The sequence below is a fragment of the Homo sapiens genome, chromosome 14, assembly GCF_000001405.40.
Source record: "Homo sapiens chromosome 14, GRCh38.p14 Primary Assembly".
NCBI classification, from domain to species: domain Eukaryota; kingdom Metazoa; phylum Chordata; class Mammalia; order Primates; family Hominidae; genus Homo; species Homo sapiens.
The window spans coordinates 21,750,116-21,767,265 of record NC_000014.9 but is presented as its reverse complement, the minus strand read 5'-3'; the positions used below and the strand labels follow the sequence as shown (position 1 = coordinate 21,767,265).

Genomic DNA, 17,150 nt, shown 5'->3' with positions numbered 1-17,150 from the left:
AAACAAACCTGGCTTTGAAACTCCTCCATTTAATCTCTGAGTGAGCTAGAGCAAGCTACTTAATGTCTCTAAGTATGAATTTCCTTATCTGTAAAATGGGGGATATCACTAGAATGCATTGGCTAATGTATATAAAATGCTTTATATAATGCATCAGACACAGTAAGAACTGAATAAATATGAACTATTAATATAAGAAAAGGAATCCAATAGTGGCTGCAAAACCAGTCAGGAGGTTATTGCTGCTTTCTCATTGTGAGGTATAGGTGACTGAACCAGGGTCATTGAACTTCAGAGCTAAGAGTAATTTTACAAAATTTACAGAAAATGGTGGATTGGAAAGACTTTTAATCAACTAAGGCATATTTTGGAAAACTGATAAAAATAGGATGAAAGAGAAAATCACTACTTACCTTATCAAGCAAAGATATGCATTATCAATATCTCAGTGCGTTTTTCCCAACATTTGCACTATTCAGATTTTTATTAAGTGGCAACGATATCTTGATTCTTTTTAATTATTACTATTCAATAATCATTACTATTCAATAATCATTGTAGATTATCTTTGTAAACACCATTTATTTGGTGCATAATATTCCATTTGTGTCATTAAGCCTTTCCCTTAAAGATGAGACATTTTGGTTTTCCATTTTGGGGTAGTGTACATAACTTTCCAAATACCTTTGTAAATAATTATTATATGCATTTAGAGTTTTCCTGAAGACAGATTCTCTAGAGAAAATCATTACAATGAAGAAAATGAATATTTTTTAGATTATTGTCATGTTTTTAAATTACTTTTTAAAATGGCTTACAAGTTTACTCTCCCACCAGAGCAGTATGTTTCACTGCATTTTTTCCAAATTATCTCCCTTTCGATTTGCTATTTCTATAATTTCCTAATTTTTTTTGTTTTTTTTTTAACACTGCATACAAATACAAGTATTTCTTTCTTTTTTTAAAAAAGCTTTTGATCCTTTTTTTAATTATACTTTAGGTTCTAGGGTACATGTGCACAACGTGCAGGTTTGTTACATAGGTATATATGTGCCATGTTGGTTTGCTGCACCCATCAACTCGTCATTTACATTAGGTATTTCTCCTAATGCTATCCCTCCCCCAGACCCCCACCCCACAACAGGCCCCAGTGTCTGATGTTCCCTGCCCTGTGTTCACGTATTCTCGTTGTTCAACTCCCACCTATGAGTGAGAACACGCGGTGTTTGGTTTTCTGTCCTTGTGGTAGTTTGCTGAGAATGATGGTTTCCAGCTTCATCCATGTCCTTGCAAAGGACATGAACTCATCCTTTTTTATGGCTCCATAGTATTCCATGGTGTATATGTGCCACATTTTCTTAATCCAGTCTATCATTGATGGGCATTTAGGTTGGTTCCAAATCTTTGCCATTGTGAACAGTGCCGCAATAAACATACGTGTGCATGTGTCTTTATAGCAGCATGATTTACAATCCTTTGGGTATATACCCAGTAATGGGATCGCTGGGTCAAATGGTATTTCTAGTTTTAGATCCTTGAGGAATCGCCACACTGTCTTCCACAATGGTTGAACTAATTTACACTCCCACCAATAGTGTAAAAACGTACCTATTCCTCCACATCCTCTCCAGCATCTGATGTTTCCTGACTTTTTAATGATCACCATTCTAACTGGCGTGAGATGGTATCTCATTATGGTTTTGATTTGCATTGCTGTGATGGCCAGTGATGATGTGCATTTTTTCATGCATCTGTTGGCTGCATAAACGTCTTCTTTTGAGAAGTGTCTGTTCATATCCCTTGCCCACTTTTTGATGGGGTTGTTTGTTTTCTTCTTGTAAACTTCTTTAAGTTCCTTGTAGATTCTGGATATTAGTCCTTTGTCAGATGGATAGATTGCAAAGTTTTTCTCCTATTCTGTAGTTTGCCTATTCACTCTGATGATAGCTTCTTTTGCTGTGCAGAAGCTCTTTAGTTTAATTAGATCCCATTTGTCAATTTTGGCTTTTGTTGCCATTGCTTTTGGTGTTTTAGTCATGAAGTCTTGTCCTATGTCAACACGTACAACATGCTATGTCCTGAATGGTATTGCCTAGGTTTTCTTCTAGGGCTTTTTTGGTGTTAGGTCTTACATTTAAGTCTTTAATCCATCTTGAGTTAATTTTTATATCTGGTGTAAGGAAGGGATTCAGTTTCAGCTTTCTACATGTGGCTAGCCAGTTTTCCCAGTGCCATTTATTAAATAAGGAATCCTTTCCCCATTGCTTGGTTTTCTCAGGTTTGTCTAAGATCAGATGGTTGTAGATGTATAGTGTTATTTCTGAGGCCTCTGTTGTGTTCCATTGCTCTATATATCTGTTTTGGTACCAGTACCATGCTGTTTTAGTTACTTGTACTAACTGTTTAGTTACTAAACTGTAGTTTAGTACTACTGTTTTAGTAGGCTTGTAATATAGTTTGAAGTCAGGTAGCATGATGCCTCCAGTTTTGTTCTTTTTGCTTAGGATTGTCTTGGCTATGAGGGCCCTTATTTGGTTCCATATGAAATTTAAAGTAGCTTTTTCCAATTCTGTGAAAAAAGTCAGTAGTAGCCTGATGGGGATAGCACTGAATCTATAAATTACTTTGGGCAGTATAGCAATTTTCACGATATTGATCCTTCCTATCCATGAGCATGGAATGTTTTTCCATTTGTTTGAGTCCTCCTTTATTTCCTTGAGCAGTGGTTTGTAGTTCTCCTTGAAGAGGTCCTTCACATCCCTCATAAGTTGGATTCCTAGGTATTTTATTCTCTTTGTAGTAATTGTGAATGGGGGTTCACTCATGATTTGACTCTCTGTTTGTCTATTATTGGTGTATAGGAGTGCTTGTGATTTTTGAACATTGATTTTGTATCCTGAGACTTTGCTGAAGTAGCTTATCAGCTTAAGGAGATTTTGGGCTGAGATGATGGGGTTTTCTAAATATACAATCATGTCATCTGCAAACAGAGACAATTTGACTTCCTCTTTTCCTGTTTGAATATCCTTTATTTCTTTCTCTTGCCTGATTGCCCTAGCCAGAACTTCCAACATAGTGTTCTACGTTGAATAGGAGTGGTAATAGAGGGCATCCTTGTCTTCTGCTGGTTTTCAAAGTGTACGCTTCCAGTTTTTGCCCATTCAGTGTGATACTGGCTGTGGGTTTGTCATAAATAGCTCTTATTATTTTGAGGTACATTCCATCAATACCTAGTTATTGAGAGTTTTTAGCATGAAGGGCTGTTGAATTTTGTTGAAGGCCCTTTCTGCATCTATTGAGATAATCATGTGGTTTTTGTCTTTGGTTCTGTTTATCTGATGGATTGTGTTTATTGATTTATGTATGTTGAACCAGTCTTGCATCCCTGGGATGAAGCTGACTTGGTCGTGGTGGATACGCTTTTCGATGTGCTGCTGGATTTGGTTTGCCAGTATTTTTTTGAGGATCTTTGCACAATGTTCATCAGGGATATTGGCCTAAAATTCTCTTTTTTGTTATGTCTCTACCAGGCTTTGGTGTCAGGTTGATGCTGGCCTCATAAAATGAGCTGGGGAGGATTCCCTCTTTTTCTATTGATTGAAATAGTTTCAGAAGGAATGGTACCAGCTCCACCTTGTACCTCTGGTAGAATTTGGATATGAATCCATCTGGTCCTGGACTTTTTTTGGTTTGTAGGCTATTAATTATTACCTCAATTTCAGAACCTCTTATTGGTCTATTCAGAGATTCAACTTCTTCTTGGTTTAGTCTTGGGAGGGTGTATGTGTCCAGGAATTTATCCATTTCTTCTAGATTTTCTAATTTATTTGCGTAGAGGTGTTTGTAGTATTCTCTGATGGTAGTTTGTATTTCTGTGGGATCAGTGGTGACATCCCCTTTATCATTTTTATTGGGTCTGTTTGATTTCTCTCTCTCTTCTTCTTTATTAGTCTTGCTAACAGTCTATCAATTTTGTTGTTCTTTTCAAAAAACCAGCTCCTGGATTCATTGACTTTTTCAAGGGTTTTTTGTGTCTCTATCTCCTTCAGTTTTGCTCTGATCTTAGTTATTTCTTGCCTTCCGCTAGCTTTTGAATGTGTTTGCTCTTGCTTCTCTAGTTCTTTTAGTTGTGATGTTAGGGTGTCAATTTTAGATCTTTCCTGTTTTCTCTTATGGGCATTTAGTGCTATAAATTTCCCTCTACACACTGCTTTAAATGTGTCCCAGAGATTCTGGTATGTTGTGTCTTTGTTCTCGTTGGTTTCAAAGAACATCTTTATTTCTGCCTTCATTTCGTTATATACCCAGTAGTCACTCAGGAGCAGGTTGTTCAGTTTCCTTGTAGTTGAGCAGTTTTGAGTGAGTTTCTTAATCCTGAGTTCTAATTTGATTGCGTTGTGGTCTGAGAGACAGTTTGTTATAATTTCTGTTCTTTTACATTTGCTGAGGAGTGTTTTACTACCAATTATGTGGTCAATTTTAGAATAAGTGTGATGTGGTGCTGAGAGGAATGTCTATTCTGTTGATTTGGGGTGTAGAGTTCTGTAGATGTCTATGAGGTCCACTTGGTCCAGAGCTGAGATCAAGTCCTGGATATCTTTGTTAACTTTCTGTCTCATTGATCTGTCTAATATTGACGGTGAGGTGTTAAAGTCTCCCACTATTACTGTGTGGGAGTCTACGTCTCTTGGTAGACTCTAAGAATTTGTTTTATGAATCTGGGTGCTCCTGTGTTGGGTGCATATATATTTAGGATAGTTAGCTCTTCTTGTTGCATGGATCCCTTTACCGTTATGTAATGGCCTCCTTTGTCTCTTTTGATCTTTGTTGGTTTAAGTCTGTTTTATCAGAGACTAGGATTGCAACCCCTGCTTTTTTTTGCCTTCCATTTTCTTGGTAGATCTTCCTCCATTCCTTTATTTTGAGCCTATGTGCATCTTTGCATGTGAGATGGGTCTCCTGAATACAGCACACTGATTGGAATTGACTCTATCCAATTTGCCAGTCTGTGTCTGTTAACTGGGGTATTTAGCCCATTTACATTTAAGGTTATTATTGTTATGTTTGAATTTGATCCTGTCATTATGATGTTAGCTGGTTATTTTGCCCGTTAATTGATGGAGTTTCTTCATAGTGTCGATGATCTGTACCATTTAGTATGTTTCTGCAGTGGCTTGTACTGCTTGTTCCTTTCCATGTTTATTGCTTCCTTCAGGAGCTCTTGTAAGGCAGGCCTGGTGGTAATAAAATCTCTCAGAATTTGCTTGTCTGTAAAGGATTTTATTTCTCCTTCACTTATGAAGATTAGGTTGGCTGGATATGAGATTCTGGGTTGAAAATTCTTTTCTTTAAGAATGCTGAATATTGGCCCCCACTCTCTTCTGGCTTGTAGGGTTTCTGCAGAGAGATCCACTGTTAGTTTGATGGGCTTCCCTTTTTGGGTAACCCAGACTTTCTCTCTGGCTGCCCTTAACACTTTTTCCTTCATTTCAACCTTGGTGAATCTGACAATTATGTGTCTTGGCGTTGCTCTTCTCGAGGAGTATCTTTGTGGTGTTCTCTGTATTTCTTGACTTTGAATGTTGGCCTGCCTTGCTAGGTTGGGGAAGTTCTGCCGGATAATACCCTGAAGAGTGTTTTCTAACTTGGTTCCATTCTCCCTGTCACTTTCCGGTACCCCAGTCAAACATATATTTGGTCTTTTCACAGAGTCCATATTTTTTGAAGCCTTTTTTCATTTCTTTTCACTCTTTTTTCTCTAACCTTATCTTCTTGCTTTATTTCATTAATTTGATCTTCAATCACTGATATCCTTTCTTCCACTTGATTGAATTGGCTATTGAAGCTTGTGCGTGCATCATGAAGTTCTTGTGCCATGGTTTTGAGCTCCGTCAGGTCATTTAAGGTCCTCTCTACACTGTGTATTCTAGTTAGCCATTCATCAAACCTTTTTTCAAGGTTTTTAGCTTCCTTGTGATGGACTAGGACATGCTCCTTTCACTCAAAGAAGTTTGTTATTACAGATCTTCTGAAGCCTGCTTCTGTCATCTAGTCAAACTCATTCTCTGTCCAGTTTTGCTCCCTTGCTGGCGAGGAGCTACAATCCTTTGGAGGAGAAGAGGTGCTCTGTTTTTTAGAATTTTCAGCTTTTCTGCTCTGGTTTCTCCCCATCTTTGTGGTTTTATCTACCTTTGGTCTTTGATGTTGGTGACCTACAGATGGGGTTTTGGTGTGGATGTCCTTTTTGTTGATGTTGATGCTATTCCTTTCTGTTTGTTAGTTTTCCTTCTAACAGTCAGACCCTTCAGCTTCAGGTCTTTTGGAGTTTGCTGGAGGTCCACTCCAGATCCTGTTTTCCTGGGTATCACCAGCAGAGGCTGCAGAACAACAAATATTGCTGCCTGATCCTTCCTCTGGAAGCTTCGTCCCAGAGGGGTATTAGCCTGTTTGAGGACTCTCTCAGCCCCTACTGTGAGGGGTTTCCCAGTCAGGCTACATGGAGGTCAGGGGCCTGCTTGAAGAGGCCATATGTCCATTCTTGGAGCACAAATGCCATGCTGAGAGAACCACTGCTCTCTTCAGAGCTGTCAGACAGGGACGTTTAAGTCTGCAGAAGCTGTCTGCTGCCTTTTGTTCTACTATGCCCCGCCCCTAGAGGTAGAATCTGTAGAGGTAGTAGGCCTTGCTGAGCTGTGGTGGGCTCTGCCCAGTTCATGCTTCCCGGCAGCTTGGTTTACACTGTGAGCTACTCAAGCCTCAGCAAGGGCAGACTCCCGTCCCCCCATCAAGCCGCAGCATCGCAGGTCAATCTCAGACTGCTATGCTAGCAGTAAGCAAGGCTCTGTGGTCATGGGACCCACTGAGCCAGGCATGGGAGGGTATCTCCTGGTCTGCTGGTTGCTAAGACTGTGGGAAAAGAGCAGTATTTGGTCAGGAGTGTACCATTTCTCCAGGTACAGTCTGTCATAGCTTACCTTGGCTAGGAAAGGGAAATCTCCCATGACCCCTTGCACTTCCCAGGTGAGGCGATGCCTCATCCAGCTTTGGCTCACTCTCCATGGGCTGTACCCACTGTCCAACCAGTCCCAGTGAGATGAACCAGGTACCTCAGTTGGAAATGCAAAAATCACCCACCTTCTGCATCAATCTCGCTGGGAGCTGTAGACCAGAGCTGTTCCTATTTGGTCCTCTTCCTTGATAGGTTTTTTAAGTTATTTGCTTTCACTTTTGTGAATACCAGTAGGTTTAAACATTTCCCATATGTTTGTGAACCATGTGGCTTTTCCTCGTGCAAGTTGTCTCCTTGTATCTTCTGTATATGTATCTATTTATTTATTACTGTTTTACTTTTTTTTTTTTTTGAGACAGGGTCTGGCTCTGTTGCCAGATCATCAAGGCTAGGAAGAAGCTACATCAACTAACGAGCAAAATAACCAGCTAACATCATAATGACAGGATCAAATTCACACATAACAATATTAACCTTAAATGTAAATGTGCTAAATGCTCCAATTAAAAGACACAGACTAGCAAATTGGATAAAGAGTCAAGACCCATCAGTGTGCTGTACTCAGGAAACCCATCTCACATGCAGAGACACACATAGGCTCAAAATAAAGAGATGGAGGAAGATCTACCAAGCAAATGGAAAACAAGAAAATGCAGGGATTGCAATCCTAGACTCTGATAAAACAGACTTTAAACCAACAAAGATCAAAAGAGACAAAGAAGGCCATTACATAATGGTAAAGGGATCAATTCCACAGGAAGAGCTAACTATCCTAAAAATATATGCAGCCAATACAGGAGCACCCAGATTCATAAAGCAAGTCCTTGAGACCTACAAAGAGACTTAGACTCCCACACCATAATAATGGGAGACTTTAACACCCCACTGTCAACATTAGACAGATCAACGAGACAGAAAGTTAACAAGGATATCCAGGAATTGAACTCAGCTCTGCACCAAGTGGACCTAATAGACATCTACAGAACTCTCCACCCCAAATCAACAGGAGACATTCTTCTCAGCACCACACCACACCTATTCCAAAATTGACCACATAGTTGGAAGTAAAGCACTCCTCAGTAAATGTAAAAGAACAGAAATTATAACAAACTGTCTCTCAGACCACAGTGCAATCAAACTAGAACTCAGGATTAAGAAACTCACTCAAAACCACTCAACTACATGGAAACTGAACAACCTGCTCCTGAATGACTACTGGTTATATAACGAAATGAAGGCAGAAATAAAGATGTTCTTTGAAACCAACGAGAACAAATACACAACATACCAGAATCTCTGGGACACATTTAAAGCAGTGTGTAGAGGGAAATTTATAGCACTAAATGCCCATAAGAGAAAGCAGGAAAGATCTAAAATTGACACCCTAACATCAAAATTAAAAGAACCAGAGAAGCAAGAGCAAACACATTCAAAAGCTAGCAGAAGGCAAGAAATAACTAAGATCAGAGCAAAACTGAAGGAGATAGAGACACAAAAAACCCTTCAAAAAGTCAATGAATCCAGGAGCTGTTTTTTTGAAAAGATCAACACAACTGATAGACCGCTAGCAAGACTAATAAAGAAGAAAAGAGAGAAGAATCAAATAGAGGCAATAAAAAAGGATAAAGGGGATATCACCTTCCATCCCACAGAGATACAAACTACCATCAGAGAATACTATAAACACCTCTACGCAAATAAACTAGAAAATCTAGAAGAAATGGATAAATTCCTCGACATATACACCCTCCCAAGACTAAACCAGGAAGAAGTTGAATCCCTGAATAGACCAATAACAGGCTCTCAAATTGAGGCAATAATTAAGAGCCTACCAACCAAAGAAGTCCAGGACCAGATGGATTCACAGCCAAATTCTACCAGAGGTACAAACAGGAGCTGGTACCATTCCTTCTGAAACTATTCCAATCAATAGAAAAAGAGGGAATCCTCCCTAACTCATTTTATGAGGCTAGTATCATCCTGATACCAGAGCCTGGCAGAGACACAACAAAAAAAAGAGAATTTTAGACCAATATCCCTGATGAACATCGATGCAAAAATCCTCAATAAAATACTGGCAAACTGAATCCAGCAGCACATTAAAAAGCTTATCCACCATGATCAAGTGGGCTTCATCCCTGGGATGCAAGGCTGGTTCAACATATGCAAGTCAATAAACGTAATCCAGCATATAAACAGAACCAATGACAAAAACCACATGATTAACTCAATAGATGCAGAAAAGGCCTTCGACAAAATTCAACAACACTTCACGCTAAAAACTCTCAACAAATTAGGTATTGATGGGATGGATCTCAAAATAATAAAAGCTATCTATGACAAACCCACAGCCAATATCATACTGAATGGGCAAACACTGGAAGCATTCCCTTTGAAAACTGGCACAAGACAGGGATGCCCTCTCTCACCACTCCTATTCAACATAGTGTTGGAAGTTCTGGCCAGGGCAATCAGGCAGGAGAAGGAAATAAAGGGTATTCAATTAGGAAAAGAGGAAGTCAAATTGTCCCTGTTTGCAGATGACATGATTGTATATTTAGAAAACCCCATCATCTCAGCCCAAGATCTCCTTAAGCTGATAAGCTACTTCAGCAAAGTCTCAGGATACAAAATCAATGTACAAAAAACACAACCATTCTTATACACCAATAACAGACAAACAGAGAGCCAAATCATGAGTGAACTCCCATTCACAATTGCTTCAAAGAGAATAAAATACCTCGGAATCCAACTTACAAGGGATGTGAAGGACCTCTGCAAGGAGAACTACAAACCACTGCTCAATGAAATAAAAGAGGATACAAACAAATGGAAGAACATTCCATGCTCATGGGTAGGAAGAATCAATATCATGAAAATGGCCATACTGCCCAAGGTAATTTATAGATTCAATGCCATCCCCATCAAGCTACCAATGATTTTCTTCACAGAATTGGAAAAAACTACTTTAAAGTTCATATGGAACCAAAAAAGAGCCTGCATTGCCAAGTCAATCCTAAGCCAAAAGAACAAAACTGGAGGCATCAGGCTACCTGACTTCAAACTATACTACAAGGTTACAGTAACCAAAACAGCACAGTACTGGCACCAAAACAGAGATATAGACCAATGGAACAGAACAGAGCCCTCAGAAATAATGCCACATATCTACAACTATCTGATCTTTGACAAACCTGACAAAAACAAGAAATGGGGAAAGGATTCCCTGTTTAATAAATGGGGCTGGGAAAACTGGCTAGCTGTAGAAAGCTATGTAGAAAGCTGAAACTGGATCCCTTCCTTACACCTTATACAAAAATTAATTCAAGATGGATTAAAGACTTAAATGTTAGACCTAAAACCATAAAAACCCTAGAAGAAAACCTAGGCAATACCATTCAGGCCATAGGCATGGGCAAGGACTTCATGTCTAAAACACCAAAAGCAATGGCAACAAAAGCTAAAATTGACAAATGGGATTCTAATTAAACTAAAGAGCTTCTGTACAGCAAAAGAAACTACCATCAGAGTGAACCGGCAACCTACAGAATGGGAGAAAATTTTTGCAATCTACTCATCTGACAAAGGGCTAATATCCAGAATCTACAATGAACTCCAACAAATTTACAAGAAAAAAACAAACAACTCCATCAAAAAGTGGGCAAAGGATATGAACAGACACTTCTCAAAAGAAGACATTTATGCAGCCAAAAGACACATGAAAAAGTGCTCATCATCACTGGCCATCAGAGAAATGCAAATCAAAACCACAATGAGATACCATCTCACACCAGTTAGAATGGTGATCATTAAAAAGCCATAAAAAATGATGAGTTCATGTCCTTTGTAGGGACATGGATGAAGCTGGAAACCATCATTCTCAGCAAACTATCGCAAGGACAAAAAACCAAACACTGCATGTTCTCACTCATAGGTGGGAATTGAACAATGAGAACACATGGACACAGGAAGGGGAACATCACACACCGGGGACTGTTGTGGGGTGGGGGGAGGGGGGAGGGATAGCATTAGGAGATATACCTAATGCTAAATGATGAGTTAATGGGTGCAGCACACCAACATGGCACATGTATACATATGTAACAAACCTGCACGTTGTGCACATGTGCCCTAAAACTTAAAGCATAATAAAAAATAATAATAATAAAATAAAAAAAAATCATAAAACACATGTAGAATATGCCTATGGAGAAGACACTATAGGCAACAAGGGTAATTTTTTGAAAGCGAATGTTTTATGGTCTCCATAAAGTTTCAAAAACATAATTTTGATGTAATATAAAATAAAGCTGAAATGATGAAAAAAAAAAAGAATGTTGAATATTGGCCCCACTCTCTTCTGGCTTGTAGGGTTTCTGCAGAGAGATCTGCTGTTTGTCTGATGGGCTTCCCTTTGTGGGTAACCCGACCTTTCTCTCTGGCTGCCCTTAACATTTTTTCCTTCATTTTGACCTTGGTGAATCTCATGATTATGTGTCTTGGGGTTGCTCTTCTCGAGGAGTATGTTTGTGGTGTTCTCTGTATTTCCTTAATTTGAATGTTGGCCTGTCTTTCTAGGTTGTGGAAGTTCTCCTGGATAATATCCTGAAGAGTTTTCCAACTTGGTTCCATTCTTCCCATCACTTTCAGGTATTCCAATCAAACGTAAATTTGGTCTTTTCACATAGTCCCATATTTCTTGGAGGCTTTGTTTGTTCCTTTTCATTCTTTTTTCTCTAATTTTGTCTTCTCACTTTATTTCATTAAGTTTATCTTCAATCTCTGATATCCTTTCTTCTCCTTGATTGATTTGGCTATTGATACTTGTGTTTGCTTCACGAAGTTCTCATTCTGTGTTTTTCATCTCCATCAGGTCATTTATGTTCTTCTCTAAACTGGTTATTCTATTTAGCAATTCACCTAACGTGTTTTCAACATTCTTAGCTTCTTTGTATTGGGTTATAACATACCCCTTTAGCTCAGAGGAGTTTGTTTTTACCCACCTTTTGAAGCCTACTTCTGTCAATTTGTAAAACTCATTGTCCAGCTTTGTTGCCTTGCTGGCAAGGAGTTGGGATCCTTTGGAAGACAAGAGGCGTTCTGGTTTTTTGAATTTCAGACTTTTTATGCCAGTTTCTCCCCATCTTTGTGTATTTATCTACCTTTGGTCTTTGATGTTGGTGACCTTCAGATAGGGGTCTGTAAGTGGACTTCCTTTTTGTTGATGTTGATGCTATTCCCTTCTGTTCATTAGTTTTCCTTCTAACACTCAGGCTTCTCTGCTCCGGGTCTGCTGGAGTTTGCTGGAGGTCCACTCCTGACCCTGTTTGCCTGGGTATCACCAGCAGAGGCTGCAGAACAGCAAAGATTGCTGCCTGTTCCTTCCTCTGGAAGCTTTGTCCCAGAGGGCACCTGCCATATGCCAGCCAGAGCTCTCCTGTATGAGGTGTCTGTTGGCCCCAACTGGGAGGTTTTCCCAGTCAGGAGACACGGGGTCAGGGACCCATTTGAGGAGACAGCCTGACCCTTTGCAGAGCTCGAACACTGTGCTGGGAGATCCACTGCTCTCTTCAGAGCTATCAGACAGGGACATTTAAGTCTGCTGAAGCTGCCCCCACATCCACCCCTTCCCCAGGTGCTCTGTCCCAGGGAGATGGGGGTTTTATCTATAAGCCCCTGACTGGGGCTGCTGCTTTTTTTTTCAGAGATGGTCTGCCAGAGAGGAGGAATCTAGAGAGGCAGTCTGGCCACAGCAGCCTTTCTGGGCTGTGGTGGGCTCTGCCAAGTTTGAACTTCCCAGTGGCTTTCTTTACACTGTAAGGGTAAAACCGCCTACTCAAGCCTCAGCAATGGCAGACGCCCGTCTCCCCACCAAGCTCGAGTGTCCCAGGTCGAACTCAGATTGCTGTGCTAGCAGCGAGAATTTCAAGCCAGTGAATCTTAGCTTGCTGGGCTCTGTGGGGTTGGGACCCGCTAAGCCAGACCACTTGGCTCCCTGGCTTCAGCCCCCTTTCCAGGGGAGTGAATGGTTCTGTCTTGCTGGCGTTTCAGGCACCACTAGCGTATGAAAAAAAATTCTGAAGCTAGCTCAGTGTCTGCCCAAACAGCCACCCAGTTTTGTGCTTGAAACCCAGGGCTCTGGTGGCATAGGCACCGGAGGAAATCTCCTGTGGGTCTGTGGGTTGTGAATACCATGGGAAAAGTGCAGTATCTGGGCTGGAGTGCACCATTCCTCACGGCACAGTCCCTCATGGCTATCTTGGCTAAGGAAAGGAGTTCCCTGACCCCTTCTGCTTCCCAGATGAGGCAACACCCCACCCTGCTTTGGCTCGCCCTCTGTGGGCTGCACCCACTGTCTGACCAGTCCCAGTGAGATGAACCAGGTACCTCAGTTGGAAATGCAGAAATCACCCACCTTCTGTGTCAATCTTGCTAGGAGCTACAGACCACAGCTGTTCCTATTCAGCCATCTTGCCAAGTCTATATCAAAAAACTTATTTTTAAAAAGACAGATATTGGCCAGGCAAAGTGGCTCACAACTGTAATCCCAATACTTTGGGAAGCCGAGGCAGGTGAATCACTTGAGGTCAGGAGTTCAAGACCAGCCTGGCCAACATGGAGAAACCCTGTCTCTACCAAAAATACAAAATTAGCCAGGCATGGTGGCAGGCACCTGCAATCCCAGCTACTCAGAAGACTGAGGAAGGAGAATCGCTTGAACCCAGGAGGCGGAGGTTGCAGTGAGCCAAGATCACACCATTACACTGCAGCCTGGGCAACAGAGCAAAACTCCATCTCAAAATAAATAAGTAAATAAATAAATAAAATTTAAAAGACATATTCTAGTTTTGGACATGTTCAATTTAGTGGGCATCATGATACCAGAAAAAGTGAAACACCGAGCCAGAAATAAGAGAAAGCTACATTCTGTTGGTTTTTATCTAGCTACATCCATATTGAGGATGAAGTCTGCTGATATGTCAGTACCCATTTGGTATTAAATAATGATGAGTACATGCCAGGATCATGCTAGGTGCTTCACATGCATTATTTCAAACATATTGATGGATCTGTGTATTCAGTGCATTTTACCTAGCCCCTTTCCTTAAATGTCCATTGGTAAAACATTAAAAACGGTGAAATACACACAAGTGCCAGATGCAAGGAGTGGCACAAGTCATAGCCCTAAAAACTGAGCAACTTTTTAAACATATTATAAAGAAGATAGACTTGAAGGATAGTCCAATCAACCCATGTGTTACTGCCTACATGATAAAAGCTCACCTGAGACAGCTCTAAGGACAAATGAGCAATTAGACTAACACTTATAAAGCAGTGGCAGGGGTCCTGGGGAGTAGAAAGAGATCAAAGAGTAAAATAATAAAGGGTAATTCTGATCATGAATTATATGAGGAAGAATTAGCTTCCACTTGATGATGATGGTGATGATGATGATGATAACGAGTACAAAGTGAAAAACTAAACACCAACTATCTCTATAAGGCATTTCAGAAAGTAAACATCTGTTTTTAAACAAAATTTTTAATCTTAGAAACAAACGGCCAGGCGCGGTGGCTCACGCCTGTAATCCCAGCACTTTGGGAGGCCGAGGCGGGTGGATCATGAGGTCAGGAGATCGCGACCATCCTGGCTAACACGGTGAAACCCCGTCTCTACCAAAAAATAGAAAAAATTAGCCGGGCCTGATGGTGGGCGCCTGTAGTCCCAGCTACTCAGAAGGCTGAGGCAGGAGAATGGCATAAACCCAAGAGTCAGAGCTTGCAGTGAGCCAAGATTGTGCCACTGAGCGACAGAGCGAGACTCCATCTCAAAAAAAAAAAAAACAAAAACAAAAAGAAACTATGGTTTGTTTGCATGCCATTAGAGGAATACCAAATAGCATCGTTGTCATTTTTAAGGAACCAAACCACTGAACATAGGTCACCAAACTACTCTCCCTGTTAGAATGATACAATCATACAAAGAGATGGTAATATAAAAGCAATTCAGGCACAGAAGTGGATATCACTATGGACCTCTCCAGCAAGTTCTCCAACTGGCATCTAAATATAAGTGATGTACCATTCGTACTAGCAAAAGACATCCTGACTTCTGGCTTGGCAAATAATTCTAAATCAACCCTGACCTCCTTATCTGCTCCTGGAAGATTTAATAAATCCCAGTATCATCAGTGCTGAAAGAAACCTTAACATACAATGTTAGAAACATATAACTTTCCCTTTAAAATGCTGTGAAAAATAGAAAAAAAATGGGACAAATGAAAACATTCAGCACTTCAAGGAGGAAGAAAGAACAAGAGGAAAAGAGCATAAGTGATTGAAGAAACAAATTATTTCTAGAACAGAAGAAAAAATAAATTTCTAGAAAATTTAAAACTTCCTACATGTAAGAAACTATTTAAAGGGTAACACCTGAGTTCAGAAAAATACTGTCTTTCACCACAGATATATGGGACGATTATAGTGGAAATAAAATGCTGGCTTATAAAATCACTCACAAAATCATTTAAAAATTTATTTTTATAAGATTGGGGAAATGTGAAACATTAAGGTTAGAATATACTATTAAATTAAAATACAAGTCTGAGTGATCCTAATTTTTTTTCCTCACTGCCTCTTTGATTAGGTCTTTATTCAAAAGAAGCTGTTCAAAATGATTTGACTTTTATGGAATAATCAAATTTAAGAGTTTATGCAGCAGGCTCCTTTTCCTCCGTAGTAGATTTCTTTTTTGCCGGCTTCTTTTCAGCTGCTGGTTTCTTGGTAGCTGCTGCCTTTTCTCCCACCAGAGGCTTCTTCTGCTTCTTAACATCAACAATGGCCTTCTTTCCTTTCTTACATACCACAGGCTTCTTGCCTACAACCCCCTTCTCATCTGATCTGGCTTCTAGTGCTGCTGCTGCCGGCTGCTGCCTTATCCACCCAGAGTTTGTGATTCCTGGCCTAGCGAAGAATGGTGTTCCGGCGCATGATCTGTGTGTATGGGTTTAGCTTCAACATCATTCTCAGATTTTTCAGTGGGTTCTTTAGGACTCTGCGATGAATCTTCTTGCAAGGTGCTCGAAGGGCTCACTGGATCTCTGGGCTTTTTAAGATGCTGCTAAGGTCTGTATTGATCATCTTGTGCATGGGAAGATTGTAGTTACTCTTGAGGGAAGCAGCTTTATGCCAAGTGCCAGAAAATTCATCTAACTTCCAGAAAGCACTTTGAGTCCAAATGCAGAAATGTCCCACATGCCCACCAGGAGCAAGTTTCAAAATGTTCAGTTTGCTTATATTAAGCATAGTAATTCCAGGGATGTTTCTGAAGGCCTTGACGATACCATTATCCTCATTACAGATGATGCGGCGCCCCTGCGCCGGATACGGTGATGGTTTCTCGTTTTGCTCTTGCTGGATCTCATTTGCTGAGAGACATAGACCTTCTCGATATCATTCCAGGCTTTAAGTTTCTTAAGAAGCAAAACAGCCTCCTTGGTCTTCTTGTAGCCTTCAACTTTATCTTCGACTACCAAAGGAAGTTCAGGAGCTTCCTCAATACGATGACCCTTAGACATAACCAGTGCTGGTAAGGCTGAGGCAGCCAGGGCAGAAGAGATGACATATCGTTTTGGGGTTGTATTCACTCTACTATGCCAATGGAGCCAGGTTTTGGTTGGTGCAAACATTCAGCCTCCACGACACATGTTTCCAAAAGCTCCCTGGCCAGAATGGTGAGTCCCACCACTTCGAACTCTGGGAATTCAAGCTGCAGCTCTGCCAGTACTCCAAGACTCAACACTGGTTTGATGACCTGCTGATTCACTGACAGCATAGGGCTGTCTGTTGTTTTTGCACAAGTTGGCGTGAACAAAGTTCACAATATCTGGTCGAATAGGAGCCTTGAATATGGCAGACAAAGTGACATTTTTGCCAGATGACTCTCCCTTCTCAGAGTACGCTGACATCAGTGGGCAAGCACATGCCATGGCAGAGAGAGGAGAGAGCCACTGCTCTTCTCACCCCAGCTGCTGCCACAGGAAAAGCGATCCTAATTTTTTTTTTAATGAAGAAGGAATACTAAATGTTAGCTATGAATTATGTGTATGATAGGATTATAAGACATTTTGATTTTCTATTTT

The 17,150-nt window shown here is 40.5% G+C and overlaps 1 pseudogene and 1 further gene; both read right to left on the bottom strand.

Annotated features, from left to right (window-relative positions):
* Window positions 1–17,150, bottom strand: part of TRA (T cell receptor alpha locus) — a 930,229-nt gene that overhangs the window by 784,867 nt on the left and 128,212 nt on the right.
* Window positions 15,636–17,054, bottom strand: RPL4P1 (ribosomal protein L4 pseudogene 1; annotated as a pseudogene).